At 41.1% G+C, this 25,441-nt stretch overlaps 1 protein-coding gene and 1 long non-coding RNA gene across 5 annotated transcripts in view, besides 5 other annotated features; both read right to left on the reverse strand.

Annotated features, from left to right (window-relative positions):
• Positions 1 to 25,441, reverse strand: part of FAT1 (FAT atypical cadherin 1) — a 138,903-nt gene that overhangs the window by 27,751 nt on the left and 85,711 nt on the right. For all 4 annotated transcript variants that reach the window (NM_001440455.1, NM_001440456.1, NM_005245.4 and 1 more), the window contains exons 4-11: positions 24,178 to 24,239; positions 21,041 to 21,370; positions 20,481 to 20,691; positions 18,140 to 18,279; positions 12,944 to 13,219; positions 12,610 to 12,820; positions 2,164 to 6,231; positions 1,461 to 1,657 (exon numbers count right to left, since the gene is read on the reverse strand). In NM_001440455.1, the coding sequence (NP_001427384.1) occupies positions 1,461 to 1,657; positions 2,164 to 6,231; positions 12,610 to 12,820; positions 12,944 to 13,219; positions 18,140 to 18,279; positions 20,481 to 20,691; positions 21,041 to 21,370; positions 24,178 to 24,239 (5,495 nt within the window). The remainder of the gene's footprint in view (positions 1 to 1,460; positions 1,658 to 2,163; positions 6,232 to 12,609; positions 12,821 to 12,943; positions 13,220 to 18,139; positions 18,280 to 20,480; positions 20,692 to 21,040; positions 21,371 to 24,177; positions 24,240 to 25,441) is intronic.
• Positions 1,504 to 2,703: an enhancer, noted in NCBI's record as "BRD4-independent group 4 enhancer chr4:187538202-187539401 (GRCh37/hg19 assembly coordinates)". NCBI's record gives its function as "activates an origin of replication core promoter dependent on BRD2, P300/CBP, MED14 and CDK7 cofactors, and independent of BRD4, by STARR-seq in HCT116 cells {active_cell/tissue: HCT116}" and the evidence as "EXISTENCE:reporter gene assay evidence [ECO:0000049][PMID:35650434]".
• Positions 6,157 to 6,326: an enhancer, noted in NCBI's record as "experimental_76848 CRE fragment used in MPRA reporter constructs". NCBI's record gives its function as "activates a minimal promoter by MPRAs in K562 erythroleukemia cells, with activity observed for both the introgressed and non-introgressed 4:187542940 or rs77370153 variant alleles {active_cell/tissue: K562}" and the evidence as "EXISTENCE:reporter gene assay evidence [ECO:0000049][PMID:34662402]".
• Position 6,242: a transcriptional cis regulatory region, noted in NCBI's record as "Neanderthal adaptively introgressed variant 4:187542940 (GRCh37/hg19 assembly coordinates) or rs77370153 in the experimental_76848 CRE". NCBI's record gives its function as "modulates activity of the experimental_76848 enhancer by MPRAs in K562 erythroleukemia cells {active_cell/tissue: K562}" and the evidence as "EXISTENCE:reporter gene assay evidence [ECO:0000049][PMID:34662402]".
• Positions 6,584 to 6,753: an enhancer, noted in NCBI's record as "experimental_76856 CRE fragment used in MPRA reporter constructs". NCBI's record gives its function as "activates a minimal promoter by MPRAs in K562 erythroleukemia cells, with activity observed for the non-introgressed 4:187543367 variant allele {active_cell/tissue: K562}" and the evidence as "EXISTENCE:reporter gene assay evidence [ECO:0000049][PMID:34662402]".
• Positions 9,663 to 12,603, reverse strand: LOC107986334 (uncharacterized). Its single transcript, XR_002959825.2, has 2 exons — positions 11,508 to 12,603; positions 9,663 to 11,141 (listed from the first exon to the last, which is right to left on the reverse strand). It is a non-coding gene; the product is annotated as an uncharacterized LOC107986334 (long non-coding RNA).
• Positions 20,365 to 20,534: an enhancer, noted in NCBI's record as "experimental_76895 CRE fragment used in MPRA reporter constructs". NCBI's record gives its function as "activates a minimal promoter by MPRAs in K562 erythroleukemia cells, with activity observed for both the introgressed and non-introgressed 4:187557148 variant alleles {active_cell/tissue: K562}" and the evidence as "EXISTENCE:reporter gene assay evidence [ECO:0000049][PMID:34662402]".

Genomic DNA, 25,441 nt, shown 5'->3' on the forward strand with positions numbered 1-25,441 from the left:
TCTGATCTGCCATCAGGCATCCATCCACGTCCTGCTACCAAGACCGCCACCTACACAGCATCACGGGACCCAAATGGTCTGTTTCGCATCCCAAACATCCCAGCTCCACTCGCCACCCTGCCTCCCCAAAGTCCTCTTCTCCCCAACCCAGGTTGGCACTGCACTGGTGTCCTCCTCTTCCTTCCAGCTCAGCTCCCTTCTCCCTTTGGAAATAGCTCTCTCTTCTTTTTCCCTTTTGTTAGTATCCTCTCAAATGAAGTCAATTTTCAGCTATCCAGAGACAACGCCAAGTTTCCACACCTTTCCCTAATACCCATCCAACATCTCGCCATCTCTCAATGTCTAAAAAACATGGTCAACTGTATGTCTCATTACTTTAGCAAACTGGAATTGGAACTCAACACGGAACTCCTCTAAAACCAGCCCCCGGCTCAGACTCCTCTTTGCCACGGCCTTGGTCGCTCCCCCTACTCATGTAGAAAGTCGGGCTCGATGGCATGCTGGCTGGCTGTCACACCAGATGGTCTTCCTCGGTGGTGGCTTTGGTCCTTTCACTCCTTCCCCACCTCTGCCTTTCCAGGGCCCCCTTGCATCCACTCCTCCCTGTCTAAATAATGGGCACGATGCTTCCAAACTAAGCTTAAGAACTCGTCTCATGTCATCTCTACCTTACCGATATAAAAGGCTCCAAAGTCCCTATTTTCTCTAGGATCGAGTTCAAATCCCTTGGAACGACCGCCACTGCCCACTGTAATCCAGTTCACCCTTTTCCAAGACTCTCAGTGCAGACTCCCCACTTCTGGCAAACTCAGTGGCTACTCCCACAATCCCTCCTCACACTCCATGGCCCCTCCCCACCCACTCCTGACGACCCACTTACTGCCCCCCGAAGCTGAGCCAGCCCTTTCTCTGGGCAGCCCTTCTCACCCTCTGGCCCCAGGGACCACCCCTGCTCGAGCCACATGCCCTCATCTAACCTTGGAGGGAGCAGCCCTTCCTACGTCTACTTTTAGTTCCCACTGAATGGTGAGCCGCGCAGATGCAGGAAGCACGCTGTCCACCTCTGAGCTTCTCCAGCGTGCAGAAGAGCAGATGCCCCCAAAACAGTGTCTCACGGCACGTCGGCACTTTGTTTCCCGTCAGATCCTTCCCCCAAAACAGCTGTATCCCCATATTAAGAGAATCCCCTCATGAAAAGGTTACAGAGCATTTTCAGTGTTGGATGCAACTGGAGTCCTGTCCGTAATTTAGTTTTCTAGAATGAGGCTTTTGATTTATTGAGCATTCCCGCAAATAGTTCTGAAGCTTTTCCAAGTCTTACCCCATTTAACACCTCTGCTTAATCAGTAAGTGATCATAAAACACATGTGAATTACACCACAGCGCCAAATGATGGTCCCATTGAAAGAATTAAGAAATTGAAATTCATAACACACAAATGTAAGGGAAGAGCTGCTTACCTTTTCACAAACTGGACTGTTGTCATTTGCATCCAGAACTTTCACTTCAACTATCGCTTTTGATGAGAAGGTGCCATCAGTTGCCGTGATAGTAAGAAGGTAATTGTCCCTTTTTTCCCTGTCTAGAGGTTTCTTCACATATACCTTCCATTCATTCTGTATAGTTTCAACGGCAAACTGTCCTAAAGGATCCCCTCCTATTAAATCAATGGAGGAAGATAATAATCAAATTTGTTGAAAGGATAAAAATAAGTAACAGAAAAAATAAACTGTACAAAAGATGTATAATGTTATAGTTTAAAAGAATTGAGTATTAAAAGAATTAATTTGGCATATATTAGCCTTCCAATTTACAAAAACAAGGGCAGCATTAAAATGCATAAACATAGCATTAAGACTACTAATCATTTAGCCTGCATTAAAACTATAGATGTTTTTAATTATATTTATTATACACTAAGTATAAGGTTCAAAAGAATGAGTCACAAAAATCAAAAACAGTCTAATGAAACAACTGGTAGCTTTGCTCAGGTAACAAGCTTGAAATGAGGCTCAACAGATGTTATTTCTACGTATTATTTTAGATATTTTTAACTAAAATCATCCCTTAAATCCCCAATTTCCATACAATACAGATCTTATACTTTATGCTTCTAAAAATCATTTTAAATTAATTAAACCGTTTGGTATGAATTTTTTTTACCTGTTATGAAATATGTAACTTGTCTGTTGATCTCTTCAGAATCAGCATCCGTGGTACTTAAGATGGCAATCACCCCACCTTGGGGGTCATCCTCACTCACAGTCCCTTTATAGATCTCGGCCGTGAATCGTGGTGGACTATCGTTGACATCGGTGACGGTAACATCCACAATGGCTGTGGAGGATAGCTGGATCTTTTCACCATGATCTGATGCAACCACTTTAATCTGGTAATTGTCTCTCTTTTCATGGTCAAGTTCCTTTAAAGTTGTAATCCAGCCTGTTTCCATGTTAATGGCAAAGGATTCAATGACTTCCACACTTTGTGACTGATCCAGGCTATACATAACTTGGCCGTTGGTTCCTGAGTCAGCATCAGATGCCCTGATCTGAATTACTCTACTTCCCCCTGGCAGGTTTTCAACAATGAATGCCTCATATGGACTAGATTCAAAGACCGGGCTGTTGTCATTTGCATCTTTCACTTGGATACTAACATCTACAGAAGCCACCATCTCATGGTCATCTTGAGTGCACCTGGCCAGTATGGAAAACTGATACCACTTAGTTGTCTCATGATCAAGACTCTTCTCCAACTTCAGTCTCCCGCTCTGTCTGTCAATCACAAAGGACTCATCCCTATTGCTTTCTGGAGTATTCCCTTTGACCAGGCTGTAAAGAACAGTCCCACTATGTTCTGCTCGGATGAGATCTATCTCTGTTCCAATAGGCACGTCCTCTGACACTGTAAAGGTATAGAAAGGTTCTGAAAATTTTGGAAGCTGCATTTCCGGTGGAAGGATTTTAACATAGACAAGAACAACAGATTCTTTTGATGGAGACCCATTATCCACAGCTCTAACAAAGAAAGTGAAGAATTCATTTTCCAAGCCAATGAGGCTCTCCTTTGTAGTGATTACGCCGGACAGTTTGTTAATTTCCAAATTCTCTTTTACACTTTCAGAGTCTGCTTCAATGGCATAGGTGATGTCGGCATTGGAGCCCTCATCGGCATCACTTGCAAGAACTTTAACGACTGAAGTCCCTTTAGCAGCACTGGACCCGATATTCACTTCGTATTTGGTTGCTCGAAATTGTGGTGCATTGTCATTGTCATCTGTAAGGATGACATTCACGGTGCAGAAAGCAACTTTTCCTCCAGCATCCTTAGCCATTAAACGGACTGAGATCACTTTCTCCGCCGGGGTTTCTCGATCAAGTTTTTCCAAAGTAAATATCTGTCCTCTCTCATTTATGTAAAATCTGTCTTTGGCAAAGTCATTTACAATATGGTAAGTAACGTGACCATAAATACCAGAATCCCCATCCGTAGTTTTCACCTCCATCACCAGGGTATGTAGGGGAGCGTTTTCAGCTAGTTCCACTTCATATTCGTTCTGAAGGAAAGCAGGACTGTGCAAATTGCCTCCAATTACAGTTACATGAACCTGGGTGGAACTTCTAAAAACTCCATCAGACACTGACAGGTTAAGACTGTAAAATGGCTTCAGGGCGTGCCGGTGCAGGTTTGAGAGGGTGATAATCCCTGTTGCACTGTCAATGACAAAATGTTTATGATCATTGCCAGACAGAATGGAATACTGCAACTTGTCTATGTCTGAACTGTCTGCATCATAGGCTTTTACACAGGTCACGAAATGCCCATGAGGGGCGTGCTCGCTAATTCTGGCTTCATAAATCTGTTGTTCAAAGAGTGGTGGATTATCATTGAGGTCGGTAACGTCCACCGTGACAATCACATCACTGCTCAGCGTGGGCATACCACCATCAACTGCCCTCACAAAAATCGTGTGCTGCCGGGACTGCTCGTAATCCAGGGTTCTGAGTAGTGAGATGAGGCCAGTGCTGCTGTCTACATGAAAATGATCATGACTCTTGCTGTGATTCCCAAACATCTGGTATGAGATTCCTCTATTTGGTTCTGAATCAGAATCGGTGGCTCTAACTTGAACAACAGACGTTCCAATTACAGATGCCTCAGACAGGGTCACCGCATAAGACTGCTGAGCAAACACAGGAGGGTTATCATTGATGTCGTCTACTATGATGTCCACAAATACTTCAGCATGAGCGCCCGTCAAGGAGTCAGTTGCGCGTATGCTCAGCTTATATGCCGGGTGGGCCTCAAAGTCCAGAGGAGCTATGACATTGATAACTCCAGTATTGAAGTTAATAGTGAACTGGCTGAAAGGGTCTCCGTCTGTGATGCTGTAGAACACTTTCAGGCCTTCCGGGCTGTTAGCCTGCACGTGGACCACAGGGCTGTGCACCTGGATGCTCTCTGCAATCTCTGCACTGTAGAAAGGTTTTTCAAACACAGGCATGGCTTTATTCATGACAGTGATCGGAACGATAACTTCCGCTGAAAAGGCCGGGTTCCCTCCATCTTTTGCAACCACTGTAACAAGATATTCTTTATTTAAGGTGTCAAGCTCAAATTGCTTTTTCAGTGAAATTTCACCCAAGGGTCCAATTTGAAAGTGTTCATGATGTTCCTTGAGGTAGTAATGCACTTCCCCGTTTCTGCCACTGTCTCTGTCTACAGCAGTGACATAGCGAATGACATGGCCCACCTCAGTGTCCACTTTAACAACGGCGTAGTAGGGAAGGTTGACAAACACCGGCGCATTATCATTTTGGTCTTCTACAATGACCTTCACGACAACGTGGGCCACTGCAGAAGGCTTATGTTCCTCTGTCACTTCTACAACCACATCAAACGCCTCCTGCTGCTCACGATCGAAGGGCGTGCCAGTGGTTGACAGAACTCCTGAAGTGCGGCTTATTTTAAATCTGCGATCTGGGTTGAGGATGTGATAAAACAAAGGCTCATTGATTGGATTCCCAATAGCAGTAATGACAGCTAATGTTTCGGCCTCGGTGGAATTCTCTTTCACTACCGCAGAGTAGACATCCTGGGTAAACTTTAGGTGACTTTCTTTGCTTTCTTTCACATTAATTTTGACAGAGGTAAGGCCGGCAAATCTGCCATCGGAAGCTCTAACGGTTAGCTCGTAGCGGCTTCTTAACTGAGTTGTGTTTTGGACAGTGAGAGCACCAGTCTTGTAGTCCATAGAAAACTTCTCCCCGATGTTGCCTTCGGTGATGGAGTAAATCAACTGTGAGAATGCACTTGAATCAGCATCTGTAGCATTTACTGTGATGACTTTTACTCCTTTGTATGTTGGTAACAAAAGAGATGCTTCATATAATGGCTTGGCAAACACAGGGGGGCAGTCATTAATGTCAATTACATGTACTGTTACATTCGCTGCATACTCAGCAAATAAACGTGGGGTTCCCATGTCATGCACTTGGACGGTAAAGTGAAAAATACTTGTTTCTTCATAGTCCAGACTTAGTACTGTATGAATAGCACCAGTGCTAGAATCAATAGCAAAATATGTGTGTACAGATGGTTCAACAATGTGATATACAAGCAAAGCATTTGAGTCTTTATCAGCATCAGCTGCTCGAATCACCAGTGGGACATTCCTGTCTGTTAGGACCACGCTGTTAATTGAGGCTGATTCACTAATGAGTCCTGTATATTCTGCCTGCATAAAAACTGGCGCGTTGTCATTCTCATCCTGCAAGTGAACTAGAACCGTTGTATTAGTGGACAAACCAGCCATGTTAGTTCCTTGTATTATCAATGTGTAAATGGGCAAAGTTTCAAAGTCCAGGGCTTTCTGAGTGATGATAGTTCCAGAATGTGGATTAATATCAAAAGCATCACCTGTATTTCCATCTTTTATTTCATACACCACTGATGATTGACTATGGGCTGTAACCATCCCAACGAAACTCCCAATGCTGACAGTTTCACTAAGTTCAACAGAATATTCTTTTGATGTAAACTTCGGAGAGGCGTTGTCAGCAATTGTGACAAAGATACGCACAGAAGTTATTTCACTCATTGGTGGACTGCCCTTATCTGTAGCTTTTACCATTAAATCATACTCCGCTTGGTTACTTCGATCTAATTCTTTGGCAGTTTTAATAGAGCCCAAGACAGGATCAATCATAAAAGAATTTCCAATATTTCCTGGAAGGAGAGGAAAAAATACATGTTACAGAAAAACACAAGGGGCAGTAGTAGTAGTAGTTAGAGAAACAGAAACAAAGTATCCTTAAAAATTATATTCTGAAATTAAGCAGAAACTCAGGGGATGTCAATATTTGAATGGAACCTTCAACTTGTTTTATTTTTATCCACCTAAAACCAGGTATACTTTACAGAATTTTGTCCATAAATGATGAAAAACAAAAAACAGAAGAAACAGCACTCTGCTCTTAGCGAAGCCAAAACTCCCTCTCTCGGCTGCACTGGGAATGTGTGGTGGAAAGACAAGGCTATCCTTCCACAAAGCAGTTGAGTGAGTCACTTTCCAGGAGTCCCTCAAAACACTTCTGGACCACATTTGTATTTTCAACGGTTATGACTTACAAATTCTTAAGATATGTATTCATTACGAAAGATTTCGATTCAGTAAGAAATTGACATCAAGCTTCAAGAGACAATTGTCCATGGATAAATGTGTGTAACCCACCCCACTTTACAGGTTTTGAAGATTGCAACAACATTCCCTTCTTATCTTTTTCAGGTCAACTTATCCTCTAGGTCAGTGGTTTTCCCCTGGGGGCAATTCTGCTCCCTAGGAGACATCTGGTAATGCCTGCAGACATTTTTGGTTGTCACTACTTGTCGGAAGAGGGTGCTCCTGGCGTCTCGTGGGTGGAGACCAGGGGTGTTGCTAAGCATCCTACAACGCACAGGACAGCCCTACACAACCAAAAATATCTGGTTCCAAATGTCAGCAGTGCTGAAGCTGAGAGGCTGCTCAAAGATAGAGTGTTTTACCTCCTTTTCTTTGGACCTTTTCAGGCTATACTGTATGTATCTTTAGCTGCAACCACAACTCCAGAATATTGTATAATTTTGTATCATCGACTGAATCTTCAAAGAAACAAGCAGTTCTCTACAGCCCTTTTGGATAAATCAGGGTGGCGTTGCAGGTTCTCAGGTTTAATCCATCCACGAGCCCATCCTTTTTCTGTTTCATGAACAAGCACCCAGAATTCACCATCCCTGTCATAGCACAGAATTTATTTTCCCCAAATGAACTATTATACTTACCCAAAACAAAGCTCACTTGCCACTTAACTGCTTTCTCAGATTCTTGCTCTAGGTTTGCCACGAGTGTGGCATTTCACAGACCAGAACTGCTCAGTGTGAGCTGCACACCAGGGATTCACCAAGCACTTTGTTCTCCACATCATTAACAGGAAACACTTCCTCTACAGTCTTCACTTCCTTCCTTTCATACATTTTCCAAAAATCCACGGCCATTTTTTAGAGACCAGATCCAGCCTGCTTTTCATTAAGTCTTACTGGCTCTGCATCCGAGCCCCAAGGCAGTGCCTCAGTCTGCAACAGGGTGGAGGCCCAGGGTTTCTCTAGGCCCTGACGCTCTGAGCTGAACCCTGGCCGAGAACTGGGTCCTGCTGCCTCTGCCAGGCTTTTGAGACACTAATTTCCGGCCTGTCTGTACTTATGAGTCAGTGATCCCAGGTCCTTCCTGATTGCATTTTTGGCCGTCGTCAGAACGCCAAGATCCTTTTCTCATCCCACCTGTACATCACCCTCACTGTCTAAAATTGTGACTGACTGCCTGGCCTGACACAGGAGACTGGGGCAGCCATGGTGACTCTCTTCATCCCTGCCCCTCAGACTTCCCTATGTCTGTACTCACCAGCTGACCTACCATATTTTATATTCATTCTTCTATATCCACTTCTCTCTTATTGTACAGGATAATCTTATCTTGCCGATGAAGCTTCAAATATGCAAGGCCTCATGTGGAGGAACGAAGAGACTATCTGCTGTGGAGGAGGCTGGTGCTGCTAGAACACACTGCTTTCTGCAAAACTTGCTCCCTGCCCTCCAGCCAAGTGGGCATTCTCTTTGTCCTCAATCAGGAGAGCACACTCATCTCAGAGCCCCAGTGTCTGATGCATCCTCTCCTGGAAGAGTCTCCTCCCGCTATTCTTACTGTTTCTGTCTCATCGCCCTGTGTTTTCTTTACAGCATGGATTACAACCTTGCTCTTTATCGGCCATGCAAGATTCAGAAACATCCTCTATTATCTGGGGCATCATGACTCTGGTGAACACAGCTTGGAGCATGTCACTGATAACAAGGTTAAACAGGAACCCAGCTCGTGATGGGATACATGAATCCCACATCCATATAGATTAAGGCAGAAATCATCAGATTTGCAGGTGGGAAAGCAGCATCGTGTTTATGTGAAGAAACAATGAGGGCTGCTGAGTGGTAGAAAGTGCCCCTGCCTGGCCTAACAACAGGTTCATTCACAGACACTGAGATGCACTGGTGCTGTTGAACGACTTCCTAAGGTGGCAGAAAAGGTCTGTACGAGGCTGGGGGCTTATTCACTGACTTTAGCTACAATATGAGTGATTTTTAAACAACTTTAAATTGTTCCCTGTATGGGAACAGGGCAATTATCTAGACAAACAGGCTAATTTTTACTCTTAAGCTATTAAGTATATTACACAGAACTGTGAAGGGGAGTCTGTTTCTTCCCCTGTAGACACACACTGGATGTTCAGCTGGGGCCCCACTGACTGGCAGAGTGGCACCCTCCGTTGACTCTCAAGGCAATTACTTAAGTTTGGGGAGGAAAACCAATTCTAATCAATAAGTATATTTATTTATGGAGTATCTTCTATTTCCAGGTATTAAAATGGTTTAGAAGTAGTGCTCTAATAATCTACTTTTTTAAAAAGATGTAAGAAGAAAACACACAGACCAGAGTATGGCACTGACATGTCTCCAGCATATAACTCAATGGTTACTGAAAATATCTCTTAATTAACTCCTTTTTCCCTGAATACTCCTAATCAGACCAAACCTTTTACTCAATTAATTGCTGCTAATTAAACATGCAGTGTTACGTACTGAATTTGTAACTAGTCTTTTTGAACTTTAAATGTAATCTGACACAAATTAGAAGCAGATAATTATGAATAAACTTAAATGAAAGGCATTTGTATGAACATTTTATAGTTCGTACTATTCCAACAGATGTCCACCTCCATCTCCAACACATGCACACACCCCTTCCACAAAATTCTACTGCATTTTAATGGTAGTGGTCTCCTACAAAGTAACTGCTGAGCATAATTTTTATATTACCAAAACTATAAAAATAGCATCTTAAAAGTCCTAATTCTATGCCAGAATAGGCCATTGGTATTATCTATTCATGGAGGAGGGAGTTCCATTCTCTGAATACCAGATTCCTAATCCTGTCAGTCATTAGAAGCATTCAAAGAATGCACATGCTTCTACTCAGACACCAACAATCATATTTTAACCACCCAGTTGTTGACAATTATGTGAAAGCTAAGGGGAAGTTTAACATTTTCTCCTACATAAACCCAGTCAGTTTGTCTATGACAGAATTACTTTATTGAAGTACGCAGGCATGCACAAATGGAATGCACTGTTTTTCTAACTGCAAATTTCTCAACCAGTGGAAAAAAACTTCATCTTTACTCAAGGCACTAACTACACTACATTTTAACACTGCAATCACAGGCAGTGTATGAGATCTTATTTGTGACTAATGAACTCGATTTGGTTGTTTTAAGGGAAACAAATGAAATTTCAAATATGTTAAATAAACATAGTTTAACCACCTAGAACACATCAGTAAGTTTTTTAAAATTACTCTCCATTTCCTCAAATTTTTATTACATGATCTATAATTAATCTATACCTGTACCAATTCTAATGCCTAGGAGAGACAATTTCTAAATATGTAGAGCTACAGACTTAAAAAAGAAAACAAGTTAAATGGAATATTTTAATTCTCTAAACTCATTATGAAGAAGACTGAAAGGGACTATATTCCTTGTACTAACAATGGCACTGAAGAAAACAGAAAACTGTAAACTGTCTTCCCAACATTTCATCACTTTCAGAGGATCTGGCATGAGCAGGAACATCCTAAAGCAACGTGACTTCTGATTGTACAGACTGTATGCTCTAAAGCAGAGCCCTGTTTCTATCGGGGTGGAACTTTTACAAGACACGCATTGTGGACCCAATGGCAACGCCTACGTACCATGCCCAGGAGGAACACTCCCAACATGGCACCTGGCACATAAAGTGAGCTTCACCAGCCCACAGAATGAATGAATGAATGAGGGACCAACATGGCACCTGGCACATAAAGTGAGCTTCATCAGCCTACAGAATGAATGAATGAATGAATGAGGGACCAACATGGCACCTGGCACATAAAGCGAGCTTCATCAGCCTACAGAATGAATGAATGAATGAATGAGGGACCAACATGGCACCTGGCACATAAAGCGAGCTTCATCAGCCTACAGAATGAATGAATGAATGAATGAGGGACCAACATGGCACCTCGCACATAAACTGAGCTTCATCAGCCTACAGAATGAATGAATGAATGAATGAGGGACCAACATGGCACCTGGCACATAAAGTGAGCTTCATCAGCCTACAGAATGAATGAATGAATGAATGAGGGACCAACATGGCACCTGGCACATAAAGTGAGCTTCATCAGCCTACAGAATGAATGAATGAATGAATGAGGGACCAACATGGCACCTGGCACATAAAGCGAGCTTCATCAGCCTACAGAATGAATGAATGAATGAATGAGGGACCAACATGGCACCTCGCACATAAACTGAGCTTCATCAGCCTACAGAATGAATGAATGAATGAATGAGGGACCAACATGGCACCTGGCACATAAAGTGAGCTTCACCAGCCCACAGAATGAATGCATGAATGAATGAATGAGGGACCAACATGGCACCTGGCACATAAAGTGAGCTTCACCAGCCCACAGAATGAATGAATGAATGAATGAGGGACCAACATGGCACCTCGCACATAAAGTGAGCTTCATCAGCCCACAGAATGAATGAATGAATGAATGAGGGACCAACATGGCACCTGACACATAAAGTGAGCTTCACCAGCCCACAGAATGAATGAATGAATGAATGAATGAGGGACCAACATGGCACCTGGCACATAAAGTGAGCTTCACCAGCCCACAGAATGAATGAATGAATGAATGAATGAGGGACCAACATGGCACCTGGCACATAAAGTGAGCTTCACCAGCCCACAGAATGAATGAATGAATGAATGAATGAGGGACCAACATGGCACCTGGCACATAAAGCGAGCTTCATCAGCCCACAGAATGAATGAATGAATGAATGAATGAGGGACCAACATGGCACCTGACACATAAAGTGAGCTTCACCAGCCCACAGAATGAATGAATGAATGAATGAATGAATGAGGGACCAACATGGCACCTGGCACATAAAGTGAGCTTCACCAGCCCACAGAATGAATGAATGAATGAATGAATGAGGGACCAACATGGCACCTGGCACATAAAGTGAGCTTCACCAGCCCACAGAATGAATGAATGAATGAATGAATGAGGGACCAACATGGCACCTGGCACATAAAGCGAGCTTCATCAGCCGACAGAATGAATGAATGAGTGACCAACATGGCACCTGACACATAAAACGAGCTTCATCAGCCCACAGAATGAATGAATGAATGAGGGAATGGCAGTGGAAAACAGACCAAAAACATCCTGCTATGCCAGGACTGCTTCCTGGTGGTCCCCCTTGTTATCCCGACTCTGGATCTCTTGGCCTCTGGGTCCCGGAACCGTCCAGGACCGCAGCTCCAGCTGTTTTTTTTGCTGCCCTTGCTGCCTCAAGCCCCACCCCAGCAGGCCCCAGCTCTGGGGTCTAGTCCTCAACCCAATTCCATGAGGGAAATCCACCTGTTAAAGGCGAGTGGCAAAAATCCAGGTAAATGTGGAAGGGGTGGGAGGGGCACGACACCTCTTTCTGAGGTTTCAGCCAATTACAATGAGATGAGTCAACACTGTTATGGAGCTTCCTGCTCTGCTCAAGAGAAAATACTCTCTGACAAAAAAGTGAAACGTTAAATTACTAGGCAAGCAGCTTCCTAAGTGTGTTTAATTTAACCAATGTTACAGAAGAAACTGTGGTTAAAATAATTTCAGAAATACTGAATTGGTCAAATAAAGTTTCCTCTACTACGTGGCTTCTCAGAGCCTTGAACTGGGCTAATATTGTGAATCCCCCAGAACTTCCCCCAAACTCTCTGATGGGCTAAAAGTTAAAAAAAAAAAAATTCCTTTCTCCTAACATGTAAAATTGTATCTAGAGATCAATTTAAGCCATTTTTGCAGATACATAGAAATGCTTCAATACCCAGAACTGATTTTGGAAAAGTAGAAACAGACTTTTAACAACTGCAAATTTAAAATGCCACTGAAGGCTCCAAAAGTACCTGACTCGATCGAGTACAGCACTTCAGCATTTTTCCCTTTGTCCTTGTCCAGAGCCGTCACCTGCAACACAACTGAGCCAACGGCTGCCGATTCATAAACCCGCCCTTTGTAGGAGGAAGCGGTGAACCACGGGGCGTGGTCATTCGTGTCGCTGACATTGACCACAATCCTTGCAAAGTTGCGTTTTACAGGCACATCTTGATCTCGTACCTAAAAAGAATTGACACATTATCAATCCCATTGGTGCTTTCCTTATAACTAATTAAAAATCACGCTCGAACACACAAAGGCCTCAGGACCAAATGGTGGGAGGAGAGCGGGTAGAGCGCCTACCATGACCGTGAGGGTGTGCTGGTGAACAGCTTCATGATCCAGTTTCTCAGAAGTATAGAGAGAGCCGGTTGCAGGATCAAGACGAAATTTCTTGAGACTCAGTGGATCTCTACTGCTCTGCAGAGTGTAGATTAGTTTGTTTTTCTCATCCTGATCCACAGCACTGATTTGCAAAATTTCTGTTTCTGGCGCTGTATCTTCAGGAATAACAACTTCATACTTTGATGTAGAAAACTGAGGACGATGGTCATTTGTGTCTATTACTTTGATGAATACCTGTAATGGATGACAAAATGACTCATACAATATTTCCAATTATGAATGTTTTAATACTTAAAGAACCATGAACGAAAGTCATGTATATTGAAACGATACTGTGGCAAAATAAAATACGAGAAAGGCAACAAAAACCTAGAATCATACATTTCTTAAAACATTTCTCATTGGTATATTACTTATCTAAATATGAGTAAGATAATGATGACCTTTCTGCATTCTTATAACTAACTCTGGGACAAAATATGTATTGATTTTCACACTTGCCACGTCTTTACGTGGGCTTAACTTCTCTTACGCCTCCACAGAGAAGGTATCTGTAGGTCACTCATGTACGGATAACAATTTACCAGGATTTATAGAAGACTAATTTCTTAAATCAGATTTGTATCTGCAACTACCAACCCACTGAGGTAAGACAGATGATTACACTATCCAAATTTCTCATTCTCATCTTTGACATCCCAAGCCCCTGATCATAGGTTTTTTTAATACGTAAAAAGAAAAAATAAGAAATGTGTTTAGAAATCACTGTATTTCTGTGATCATAAACCTACATCTATGTAGTAAATATGTTTACTCCCTAAAACCAATTTAGTCAATAGATTGAAAAAATAAACTCTCTTAACTATGTCTACATAAAGTAAAAACCTTTAGAGGAAAAAAGCAAATGTTAAGAAACTTGGTACTAAGCTAAATTAGAAACAAACAAAACTTTGACAGTAAGAGGATTAATTTCCATAATGAAAAGACGTATGGATTTGGCACAGCGGAAATCACTGCCAATTATAAAACATGCTTTAGAGTTTAAGAAGAAGAAAACTGCGCTTCGTGGGGGCATATGGAACAAAGGGATCTGCTGGTCCAAGCAGCACAGGGGGCCAGGGTCCCAGGCAGAGCGGTCAACCACATGGTGCAGGCCATGAACAGAGGCCTTCCTTCCATGAGGGCTACATCAGTGTTCTCACAGAAGACCAAAATATCAAGGATGTTTTAGTTAAATAAAACGTAACATTACATTTTGTATGAATTCCAGATGCATCCACCAAACCACGGAAAGGTTGCATGTGAAAGCTATGTAAACCTTTAAAACTACAGATGCCTCACTTTTACAGGTCAATGATGATCCAGAAGGGATGGCTATAAAGGCAATTACCATAGATTAGATTACATATTCATTTCCACTATAAATTTAAAAATTACTTTTCCCATGTAGTGGGTACTGAGCAGAGAAGTTTAATCCTGCTCCAAGCTCAAGCATTATTAAGTAGAAAGAACTGGAAGTCAAAGCAATTCAATTGAAACACACGGATTGTGCGTTTCCATGCCCAATGCTTGCCTGGGTGTGAAATCAGCATGCAATGGTCTCTGCCCTCATAGAGCCACCAGGCTTACCAGGCAATGTTCTGCACATGCACAGCCTAACCATGTCTCATATATTATCATGTAAAGTTTTTAAGAGTCCAGAGACTGGCTGAGATATTCAGAAAGCTCTTAAGGAGATAATGCTTTCTTGGGTACATTTTTGGTTGGCAGGTGAGTAAGTATGAGGAAGGGCTGCGTCAACGACATGAAGGCAAGCAGTGGGACGGAACATCCTGCCTTTCAGAGGCTGGAGAGGACTTGGAACTCAGGGGTGATACAGTAAAGGAGCAAGAAGAAGGCAGAGTCAAATACGCAGAGCCTCGACTCCAGAACTGATGTGGGAGGACTACACAGCTCCTTTTGGTCAGAAGAAACTCGCTTCCAACATGAGTGGCAGGGATGAAGAATGGCGACTGGAAGGTGAATTGAGTGTTGGTGGGACAAGAGCCCAAACCAGTGCTGATGTGCAACAAGACTATGGCTTTCTGCGTGCTTACTGGGTGACAGGCTCTCAGAACGTGAAGAACAAGCACCCTGCGGGTCACCTCATCAACCTTCCTAAGACCTCCAAAAGGACGATTATCACCACCCCCACTTTGTAGATGAGAACATGGACACACAGAGAGTTACAGCTATTTGCCCATGGAAAGGAGTACAAGAGGTGGAGCCGGGATTCAAACCAAGTGATCTGCTCCAGAGGCCACGATGCTGATGCTCGAGAGAAAGTTAAAGAAGATATGAAAGCAAAGTTGTTTGAATGAAAGAAAAAAAAGGTAACTGGATTTGGTAAGTTACCTGGAGATACAAGATAAAGCCAAGTGACTGGAATCAATGGCGGTCAGCATCCTAAGCCACACACGCAGGACAGGAAAGCCAGAGAAGAGCTGTTTCCGCAGGGCACTGGCAGTTCTCCCACTGTCCTGCCGCCTACCTCTGCTGGAGGCTGCCCGCTTGACTCACCAACGGCTCACCTAAACCTTCTCAAATCGGCATCTGCTGCCCCTGACCTGGATACACAATGGCTGCTCTGTTGACTTCTGAGTGTTACTTCCAAGCCCCAATCCATCCCCGAGGTATCCTAGTGTCTCACCTCCCAGCTGACCCCTCTGCTCTTCAATCCATCCCCGCAGTATCCTAGTGTCTCATCTCCCAGCTGATCCCTCTGCTCTTCAATCCATCCCCGCGGTATCCTAGTGTCTCACTGCCCAGCTGACTCCTCTGCTCTTCAATCCATCCCCGCGGTATCCTAGTGTCTCACTGCCCAGCTGACTGCTCTGCTCTTCAATCCATCCCCGCGGTATCCTAGTGTCTCACCGTCCAGGTGACTCCTCTGCTCTTCAATCCATCCCCATGGTATCGTAGTGTCTCGCCTCCCAGCTGATTCCTGTGCTCTTCAATCAATCCCCGCGGTATGCTAGTGTCTCACTGCCCAGCTGATCCCTCTGCTCTTCAATCCATCCCTGCAGTACCCTAGTGTCTCACCTCCCAGCTGACTCCTGTGCTCTTCAACCCATTCCTGCGGTATCCTAGTCTCTCGCCGCCCAGCTGACTCCTCTGCTCTTCAATCCATCCCCGCGGTATCCTAGTGTCTCACTGCCCAGGTGACTCCTCTGCTTTTCAATCCATCCCCACAGTATCCTAGTGTCTCGCCGCCCAGCTGATCCCTCTGCTTTTCAATCCATCCCCGCTGTATCCTGGTGCCTCTCACTGTCCAGCTGATTCCTGTGCTCTTCTCCAGGTGGCAGCTGCTGCACCCCCCTCCCGCCCCCACCCAAATTCATATTTCCAGGTTCTCAGCTAAAGAGGAAAAATAATCTAAACACAAATCATTCCCTTTGTCCCACACCTTAACAGGTCAACCTGGGCTACTGTTCTCTTATAGTCCGACTGCCTTTCTCTGCCAGCGATTAGGATAGCATCTACAGCCTATGACAATGGCCCAAAAATAAGTTACAGAAGTATAAAGGAAGCAATGAAATTTAAGATATTTTGTGTTTCCAAGAAAGAAAACTAGAATACACTTCCTGGGTTTTATAGGGATTTTAGTTGGTGCACGTGATATTTCATGCTAAACTTTTAACTGCACTAATTAAAAATATAATTATTGGGAAAGAGGTGCACTGTTAATTATTCATAGACGTAGGGTCTTTAGTAATGAGAATGCTTGGCAAAGAGGGACAGCTCCACTGTTTATGAAGCTCCTTTTGTTAGATTTCTGGGTAGTCGATTCTGTGAATTGGTCTACAGTTATACCCCTTAAATCCTTCTCTCAGAATTATCCTATTAGATTTATTACAATTTATGATGTTTTTATTCTCATTTTTGTGCTCTAAAATTTTACAAGGGCTTATGTTTAAAGAGAGAAAATCAATAGATTTTGCTTGTCTCTAGAATGAGAACAGCTACCAACTAAATTGAAATTTTGACACCATACTAGAACTTTTACAAGACAATCTCAAAATGACCCCAAAAGCATATAACATACATGTATCAATTTTATATACACTAAAAATCACAAGCATTTGGAGAAAGAAATATTTTTGTAAATGGCTTTAAATTATCTACCCATTTATTAATCGAAAAGACATCACCGACTATAATTTTTATCTTTTAATGCAGCTAAATGAGTTAGCAGATGATCTGTCTTGCTTAGTACTTAAAACAGGATAATCTAACGCTAGAAAATTTCAAACTCAGATGCACCTTGTTCTCTGACATTTAACTTCTTTCTTTTTCATTTAGGCCACAGTAGATTATAAACAAGCCTTTAGCTTCTGCCATCCCAGTGTAAGCTCCAAGAGGGCAAGATTGTTGCCTCTTCTGTTTCCTACTATTCACCTTCCAGAATGGTGCCTGGCATGTAACAAGTGTTCAACAAATACTTGGTAAATAAATGAGTGAATGACACTCTGCTTGCTCCTGAAACCTCAGGATGCTTCTTCTATCTAGGAATATTCCTTCTGTACACTCCAAACGGCCCACACTGAGAACCAAAGAAAAGTAATAAGAAAGAACAGAATTTAAATTTCACTTACAGGATTTTAACACTTAAGTTTGAAATCCCCATAATCTGGCCATCTCAATTACCAGATAGGAACAAATAAAGGTGGTAAAGGAATTATTAGAACAATTTTATTAGTTATTTTATATAGCCAGGAGGAATCCAAAAAAAAGTGATTTAGAAGATTAATCACTTTAACCAGTTTTACTGAAAATGATTTAAACAATTCATTCTCAACAGTGATGTACTTGATGTTAACATAGTTTAAAATGAGTGTAAAATTCGAAGATTTTGATGGTATAACGTTGGTTTGGTTTGGTTTTTGAAGTCTTCTCTCAAAATTCTCAAAACTGCTTAATTATATGCAAAACCCAAATTGGGATATGGAATTAATTTTCTTTCCCTAAATAAAAATTCTTAGTGTGCATGTGTGTAAACTTCTGATTTTAGACCCTCACAGGGCAGAATCCACCGCTCATATTGCCCGTGGACCCCTAAGTCAGAACGTTATCTCCATCCTCCTCTGACAAGTGTGTCATTAGTAATTCACTTACCTGAGTGAGGATAGTGGTGGTTCCATCTGTAGCCTCGACTGTGAGGTTGTAGTTTGACTTCTGTTCTGCATCAAGAGGTTTGGCAACAATGATGGTTCCAGTTCCCTTGTCCACATCGAAGTGACTGTCGTAGTTGCCACCTAATTTGGGGAAAAAAAAGTAAAAACAGGTCACAGGATAACACTCTGTAGTTTATTCTGTGGCTTTCTCATACTTAATGGCACTGAAAAATCTTCTAATATACTAGCAAAGAGCTTCCAAGGAGGAGCATTTTGAAAGAAAAGAGTGGCCAATTAGAAAGACAATGCTTGTTAAGGCAAAGTGAACCCTAATTGTCCAGGAAGCAACTAACTGAAAGAAAGCAAGAAAGCAACTCTGAAAACAAAGACATTGCTAATATTGCCAATGAGTTACTTTCAATTTGCTTTTTCAGGGGTTCTGAATTCCTCTTCAATTTGTATCTCAGTAGATACCATCACTGGGCCATTTAAAAGCTTACTTACTAACAAAACTTTCTGATACTTTGAGCAAATTGACCTAATAAAATAGCTATTAAAAATCAATGTTAACTCTAAAAAAAATAGCGGTCGTTAACTTTAATTAGTCCTGGCTACTATAAACTATTTGAAAAGAATTTTTTTTCTCATTTTTGACAAACACAAAGCCTAATGAAACAAAAGTTTCTATCCTATTAATATTATCCAAATATTTTTGATAAAACTCTCTTTTCAAATCCATCGACCTAGATATAAAATGAAATGGGATGAAAATAGAGGTTTAATGTCATGATGAAATTCTACTACTAAATCTAACCAAGAAACAAAACAACACACACGACGTCTTAAGAGAAACCTAAAACCACGGAGCTAGGTGAGCATTACGTGGCAACACGCTGGCGAGTGGGATGGGTGACCATGCGCACACTATGAAAAAAAAAACAGCGATGGAAGATAGTCACTGGAAATAAAAAAGTAAAAAAAAACAAAAACAAAACAAGGCTTTTATTTTAGATCTCATAATCTGAGGCAAATTATGTGATCTCAGCAGATACCTTCTGCTGTACAGGTCGGGTCACAAGTCATCTGAAAGATGTAAAAAACTTCTCTAGCAAGCGTGTCTCCTGGCACAGCCAAAAAGAAGCAAGCGCGCATGGAAAGCAAGCACAGAATAAAAGCAATCAATCAAACCAGGTCCAAGCACAGCAAGGTTACACAGCGAGGTCAGGTACTGCACAGCAGCAGCCTGTTGATCTGGAAATGTGATAAAAGTTAACAGAAAGCAAACAAACGGTTTTGAGCATCGTTAACTACGAAAATAGTCTCTTTTTCCCCTTCCCTTGAAAGTATGCTGTAAGGGTTTCACAGGTGCTGATGACATCAATTTCACACAATCACCAAATTGGTAAAACAGCCAAAGCATTTAGCATGAAAGTTCCAAAGGTAAGGCCTGGCCTGGCCTGACATGCCCAGTGGTCTGGGTCCATCAGCTGCAACTTTTGGGGGCTTCGGGTTAGCATGACTAAGGGGCAGAAGGGGAAAAATGGACATAAAGTCCCCCCCAGAGAGATGAATCGCAACAGAGACTCTTGTTCTTAAATACCCTTGTAACTAAAATGTGAGGAAACAATAAAAAAAAATCTAAGATGCAAACTCTAATGTGAAATTTAAAAAATACGTTGAATAGGGTATTACATTCAATGTCTTATCTAAACTACATGACAAATAAGAAGAAGAAATGGCTTTAGCAAGTAAACTTTACTGGAGGATGAAATAATCTAATGAATCCTCCTACCTGTTGAAAATGAGGTAATATAAAACTAAAAACCCATAGCTGGTACCATAACTTTGTACCATAAGCTGGTATGAATCAAAATTTGTAAGCTTATTCCCTATTAAATATTGACATGTGACAGTCACACAGGCATAGTTACTTTAAATGTTCCAATCATATTCACTAAAAATAACAATGTGCCATAGGTTATGCATCAATAAAAATAACAATGTGCCATAGGTTATGCATCAATAAATAAACAGTAAGAAGCTGTGCTTCTGGACCAAAACATTCAAGGCTTTTGTCTGTAACTCTTTGACAAACTTTTACAAAATTTTATTTTTATATCAATAACTTGGTAGAATAGAGCACCTATTTTAAGCAAGTTTAACATATGCTATATATTGTGAAAAATTTTGCAATCAAAATATTATAGTTGAAAGCAAATTCTCCACCTGTCGATCTTATTCCCAATTTTAAATCCTGACTTGTGCCCAAAACTCATCAAACCGTATGCAGGTTCTCCTCAGTGTAACCCATACGGACAACGAAAATGAGGGGGAATGCTTACCAGTGATGTCAAACCAAAGGGGTATGCCAGGAGGCTCCACAGATATTACTCCAATCATGTGAGCAACGGGGTCACTTTCCATCACAGTAAAGGTAAAAAATGATTCTTCAAATGAAATGGGCTCCAGGGACGGTTTGGGCTTGGAGATCCATTCAATATGGAGTCTGGTGGTTGATGACTTTTGAGGGCGACCATTGTCAACTGCCTTAATCTACAACATTTGGGCAGAGGGGATTAAAAACAGCAAATCAGGAGTTACAACCCAGAAATGAATGAAGCACAGACTGGTTTGGTCTTAAACTGAGCCAATTTCAAACATTTCACATTTGTATTCTGTGTATGGAATGCCTGACAGAAGAACAATGATTTCATGACCACATTCAACATAAACAATAAGCACCCTGATTCTCAAACGTTATCCGGCATTGCCTAATGGGGCCAGCAGGTCACAAACACTTCAGCCGTTTACAAAATAGAAATAAAGTTACTAAAGAAAAAATACAAAATAAGGTTTATAGTCACAACATATGAAAAATTACAGTACTACAATCTTAACTCACTGAAAGAATATCATATTCTCCAGCTGCTGAAAACCTCTTGGACGAAACCACTCCAGTTTTCGGTTCGATGAAAAATTTGCCATGCTCATTCCCGTCTTCGATGCTGTAGGAGATTTCTGCATTGGGGCCCTCATCCTTGTCGGTGGCTATGACGTGATAGAGCGGCTCCCGTCTGGCATTTCTTTCTCGGTCTGGCTTTTCCCGCTCAGGGAGTCTGATTTTGTAGAACTTTTGCAGAAACTGAGGTTTGTTGTCATTTTCATCAAGGATTTTCACAATGACTCTTGCAATGGTTGATTTGGGGGGACTACCATTGTCTGTCACAGTAACCTGTTTTTTTAAAGTTAACAGATTAACATGTTAAGATATACTATATAAAAAGTGAGCATCTTCTTCCTCATGCTACTCCGCATGTGTGTAAAGCTCTGCATTTTGCAGGGCACGATGACAACATACACAGCAGATCTTCATTCCAACAACAGGGCTGTAAGGAGGTGAGGCAGCACCTCCCATCTCTACAGGGAGAGAGTCAGGGGGCCGGGCATGGCTAAGAAAGAAACAGCTGCACCCCTGCGCGCCTTCCTGACCACGCAGGCTCTCTTCTCGCATTAGTTTAAGTGGAAAGTGAACCTCACCCAAATGTTAAGCTACCAAAAACTTAATACCTTTAGGCCATGGAAGAGATACGTGAAGATTCTGCTTTACACATTTAAAGAGTCTTCTTAAAAACAACACACTCTACATACTTAAAAACAAAATTTCCATATATCATGTTAAAAATGTTAAACTTCATCAGTAAAATATGCTAAATTGTCATTTTAAAGTATGTGTTAAATAAATAGTACACCTTTTAATACCAGTAATCACCATTTTATTTTGGCTGTTTTCCTCTACAGATTTTTATAGGAGTGGACCTAAACATTTAAATTTAAGACCAACTCATTAAATAAGATTTTCGGTAAAATAACTTTCATTTTAAGTAAACTATCCATATATTCTTATATTCTATTTAGGAAAAAATATCAGAGAGTCTTGAGGACTGCACTGATGACTGTTTCTATGTCCCTAAGAGACCATTTCACCCTTAAATCAAATGTTCACGTTTACGTCAATGGGCACATTAAATATAACGACATTAGTAATGCTTATTCTCCCCTATCCACACCCCTACCTTCTTCCCAACTGAATTACCAAAACACTAAAAACGGTCAAGGAGACTGAAGTCTGGCAGTTGTAAACCCTGTTTATTAAAGTGTGACTATATCCCGATGGTGCCTGTCAAAAGTATTTAAGTAGTTGCTTTATATTATTTACCTTCCTAAGCTTTTTCAAAATAAAACATTACTATTTTAATTTTAAACTCTCGAAACATTTCCTTTTCATCAGTTTGCATATGAGCTTTAGAAAAACAAGAAAGAGAAATACAAGCAAGCACTATGTTTTTTAGTATTCATCACCAAATTGTTCCTAACTTTGGGTTCAAGAACCAGTAGCTAGTCACAGCTTTCAACATGTAATGGAGACACTATCTTTAAGACAGCCAAATCAATGCCAGCACTGGCTCTCAAATATACCACCCCAAAAGGACCCTACTGAAAAATACACTAATTATGTATGTTGAAGGGAAAATTTATTTCCCATCCATGTCCAAATATGACTTTCAAAGTGCTATATATCTGGTATCTGCTTCCACCTAGCCTTTGATATTCACGGAGAAAAGAGGACTCTGGAGTGACGTATGCAATTAATGTGAAATTTGAAAGGACTGGAGCAAAATGTCAGTGTAACTACTGCTCTCCTATCTTCCCATCTGTTTATCTTTGTCAGTGACTGCATTTGCCCCTTCTGTCAATCCTTGTAGTGACAGAATGAAAATTCAAAACTTTGCTCTATCATAAAGAAAATGAATTCAAGCGAACTTTACACCCTATGAACTAAAAACTCAGATGTAATACATGAAGCAGCTCCTAATGGGGAAAGCACTGTGGCTGTGAAACCACCTTTTCCAGAGGGTATTCCCAGTTCCCAATGCACACACACACACACACACACACACACACATACACTGCACAACTATAAAAACTAAGTATTTACTGACAACGTTAAGAAAATTTGACCAAGGATAAAATGAAATTAAGCAGGCAGCATTATAAACAGCAATATTAAAAGAAATTTTCAAAAGTTACAGTTTAGAATTTTGTCACTTATACTGTTAGAGTGGAAGAAGAGCACTGATAACTCAATTAAACAAAGGCAGGTGGCCTTTTCCAAGGCTGGCTCCGATAATGAACACCAGTCTTCCACACGGGACAGAGAGATGTCTCTACGCCCCTCTCTGCGGTCTGCCTGTCTCTCAGCCGCTTCCTGACGACACGGCCCAGAGATCTCATCAACCTGATGTCCATGTTACGCTCCACCTTCCCTCTCCAAATTACTCGCGGCCTTTTTCTGCAATGTATTTACTATTAGCCAAAAACCAGGTGACCAATACATGATAACAAGCTGTGGGTTTTCTAAGGACTAAAAGGCATTGTAAATTATCCATGAGAATGAGAAGCCTTATTAGAACTTTCTAGAAGAGCACATCTGAGACTTCAATCTACTTTTACTTTTGAGGTATTTAAGAAGCACAAACTAAGTAATTCATAGTTTAAAACGCAAAAATAATGCAACTGTTTAAGAGCAAAAAAATGAATCTGGAAACAAATTACCTCTAGTTAAAAAGGTTGAAACAGATCTATAAATACCAACATAAATATATCTCAAAAACATAATAGTAAGGGGAAAAAAAGATGTATACAGAAAAATATCACTTATGTAAATGCAAATGAATTCCACATGACACTGTTTATAGATCTGTTCGCCCCCTGTGTGTGCGCAAGCATAAAATACAAAGATCTGAATCCGGCCCATGACAGTGGCTGTGTATTCTGGGAATGGTATTGAGGGATAAAGGGGACAAGAGCTATATTCATTAACAATTTCCTTATATTCCTTTTTCCTAACAACCAGTAAATAATATTAATACAACAAAATATTAATAGCTAAGAATACTGGTTAATGGGAACAAGATTGTTCTTTCCCATGATACTTGTAACTACGAATCTTTAAGTATTAAAGATAAAAAAAAAACTTACCTCTAATATGTGTTCATCTTGCTGTTCTCGGTCTAGCTTCCTTGACGTAGTTGTGATGAGACCTGTAAAATGATAACAGTTCATTAATCCTCACAAAATAAGGTCAATTACAAAATACTGCAATTAAAATCACACTCTTGGCCAGGTGCGGTAGCTCATGCCTTAATCCCAGCACTTTGGGAGGCCCAGGGGGGTGGATTACTTAAGGTCAGGAGTTGGAGGCCAGCCTGGCCAACATGATGAAACCCTGTATCTACAAAAAGTTAGCCAGGCATGGTGGCGCGTGACTGTAATCCCAGCTAATTGGGAGGCTGAGGCAGGAGAATTGCTTGAACCTGGGAGGTGGAGGTTGCAGAGATCACACCAATGCTCTCCAGCCTGGGCAACAAAGTGAGACTCCATCTCAAAAATACAATAAAAAACAAAACCATACTCTTGTAAAAGTCTGAGCAAATTTCTTCTCAAGAAAAAAAGAAGAAAGAAATTTCTTACTAAAGAAATTTAATTTCCAGGTACGGTTATTTTGTCTACAAACAACAACATACTTTATACTTTCTCACTTTAATGACTCATATTGGATAAATGACAAATAGTAAGAAAGTGGAAAAACTCAAATCAGTTACATTTTCTATTTGTTAGTGGTTTCAATATACATTTTGTCAGAAAAGATTTTTTAAAAGTGAGATGAAGTTATCCAGGATTTCAATCTCATCCATCTCCTTTAACTGCTCAAGAGATAACTGAGAGTTGACAGAAATGACTTCTATAACTATATTAATAAGGACTATTGAAAATAAAGTGTTAACTCTAATTTATTACCTTTGAATTATCCACTCTCATAAATAAAGAACTGTTATAAAAAGTAATGTAATTTTCCAGGTAATCTTGCTCATTTAATTTCCCATAAAAGAAAATTAATGATCCTCAAATTCTGTATTCTAGAAAACAAATTTCCTATCAAACTAGAATATCTATGAGTTTTGACCTCTCTTGAGAACTTTAATAACTGCTCAACTGTCTGCATATTTTGGAACTAGAAGGCAATTACAATTTATAAAATGTATTCTTATGCTTCACCAAAACCACAAACAAAACTCCCCTAAGCACTAAAATGTCGTCCCCAATCTGTGTTGATGGTGAACAGGTGCATGCAGGATGATCTGCACCTCCGACCTTAAAACCAGGTGGAGCCTGTGTGGCAGGACAATCACCAGGGCTGAACGTTCTCCTCCCAGTGCTGCGGCTTTTTTCTCATATGGAAATA

This window comes from Homo sapiens, chromosome 4 (assembly GCF_000001405.40).
Source record: "Homo sapiens chromosome 4, GRCh38.p14 Primary Assembly".
NCBI classification, from domain to species: domain Eukaryota; kingdom Metazoa; phylum Chordata; class Mammalia; order Primates; family Hominidae; genus Homo; species Homo sapiens.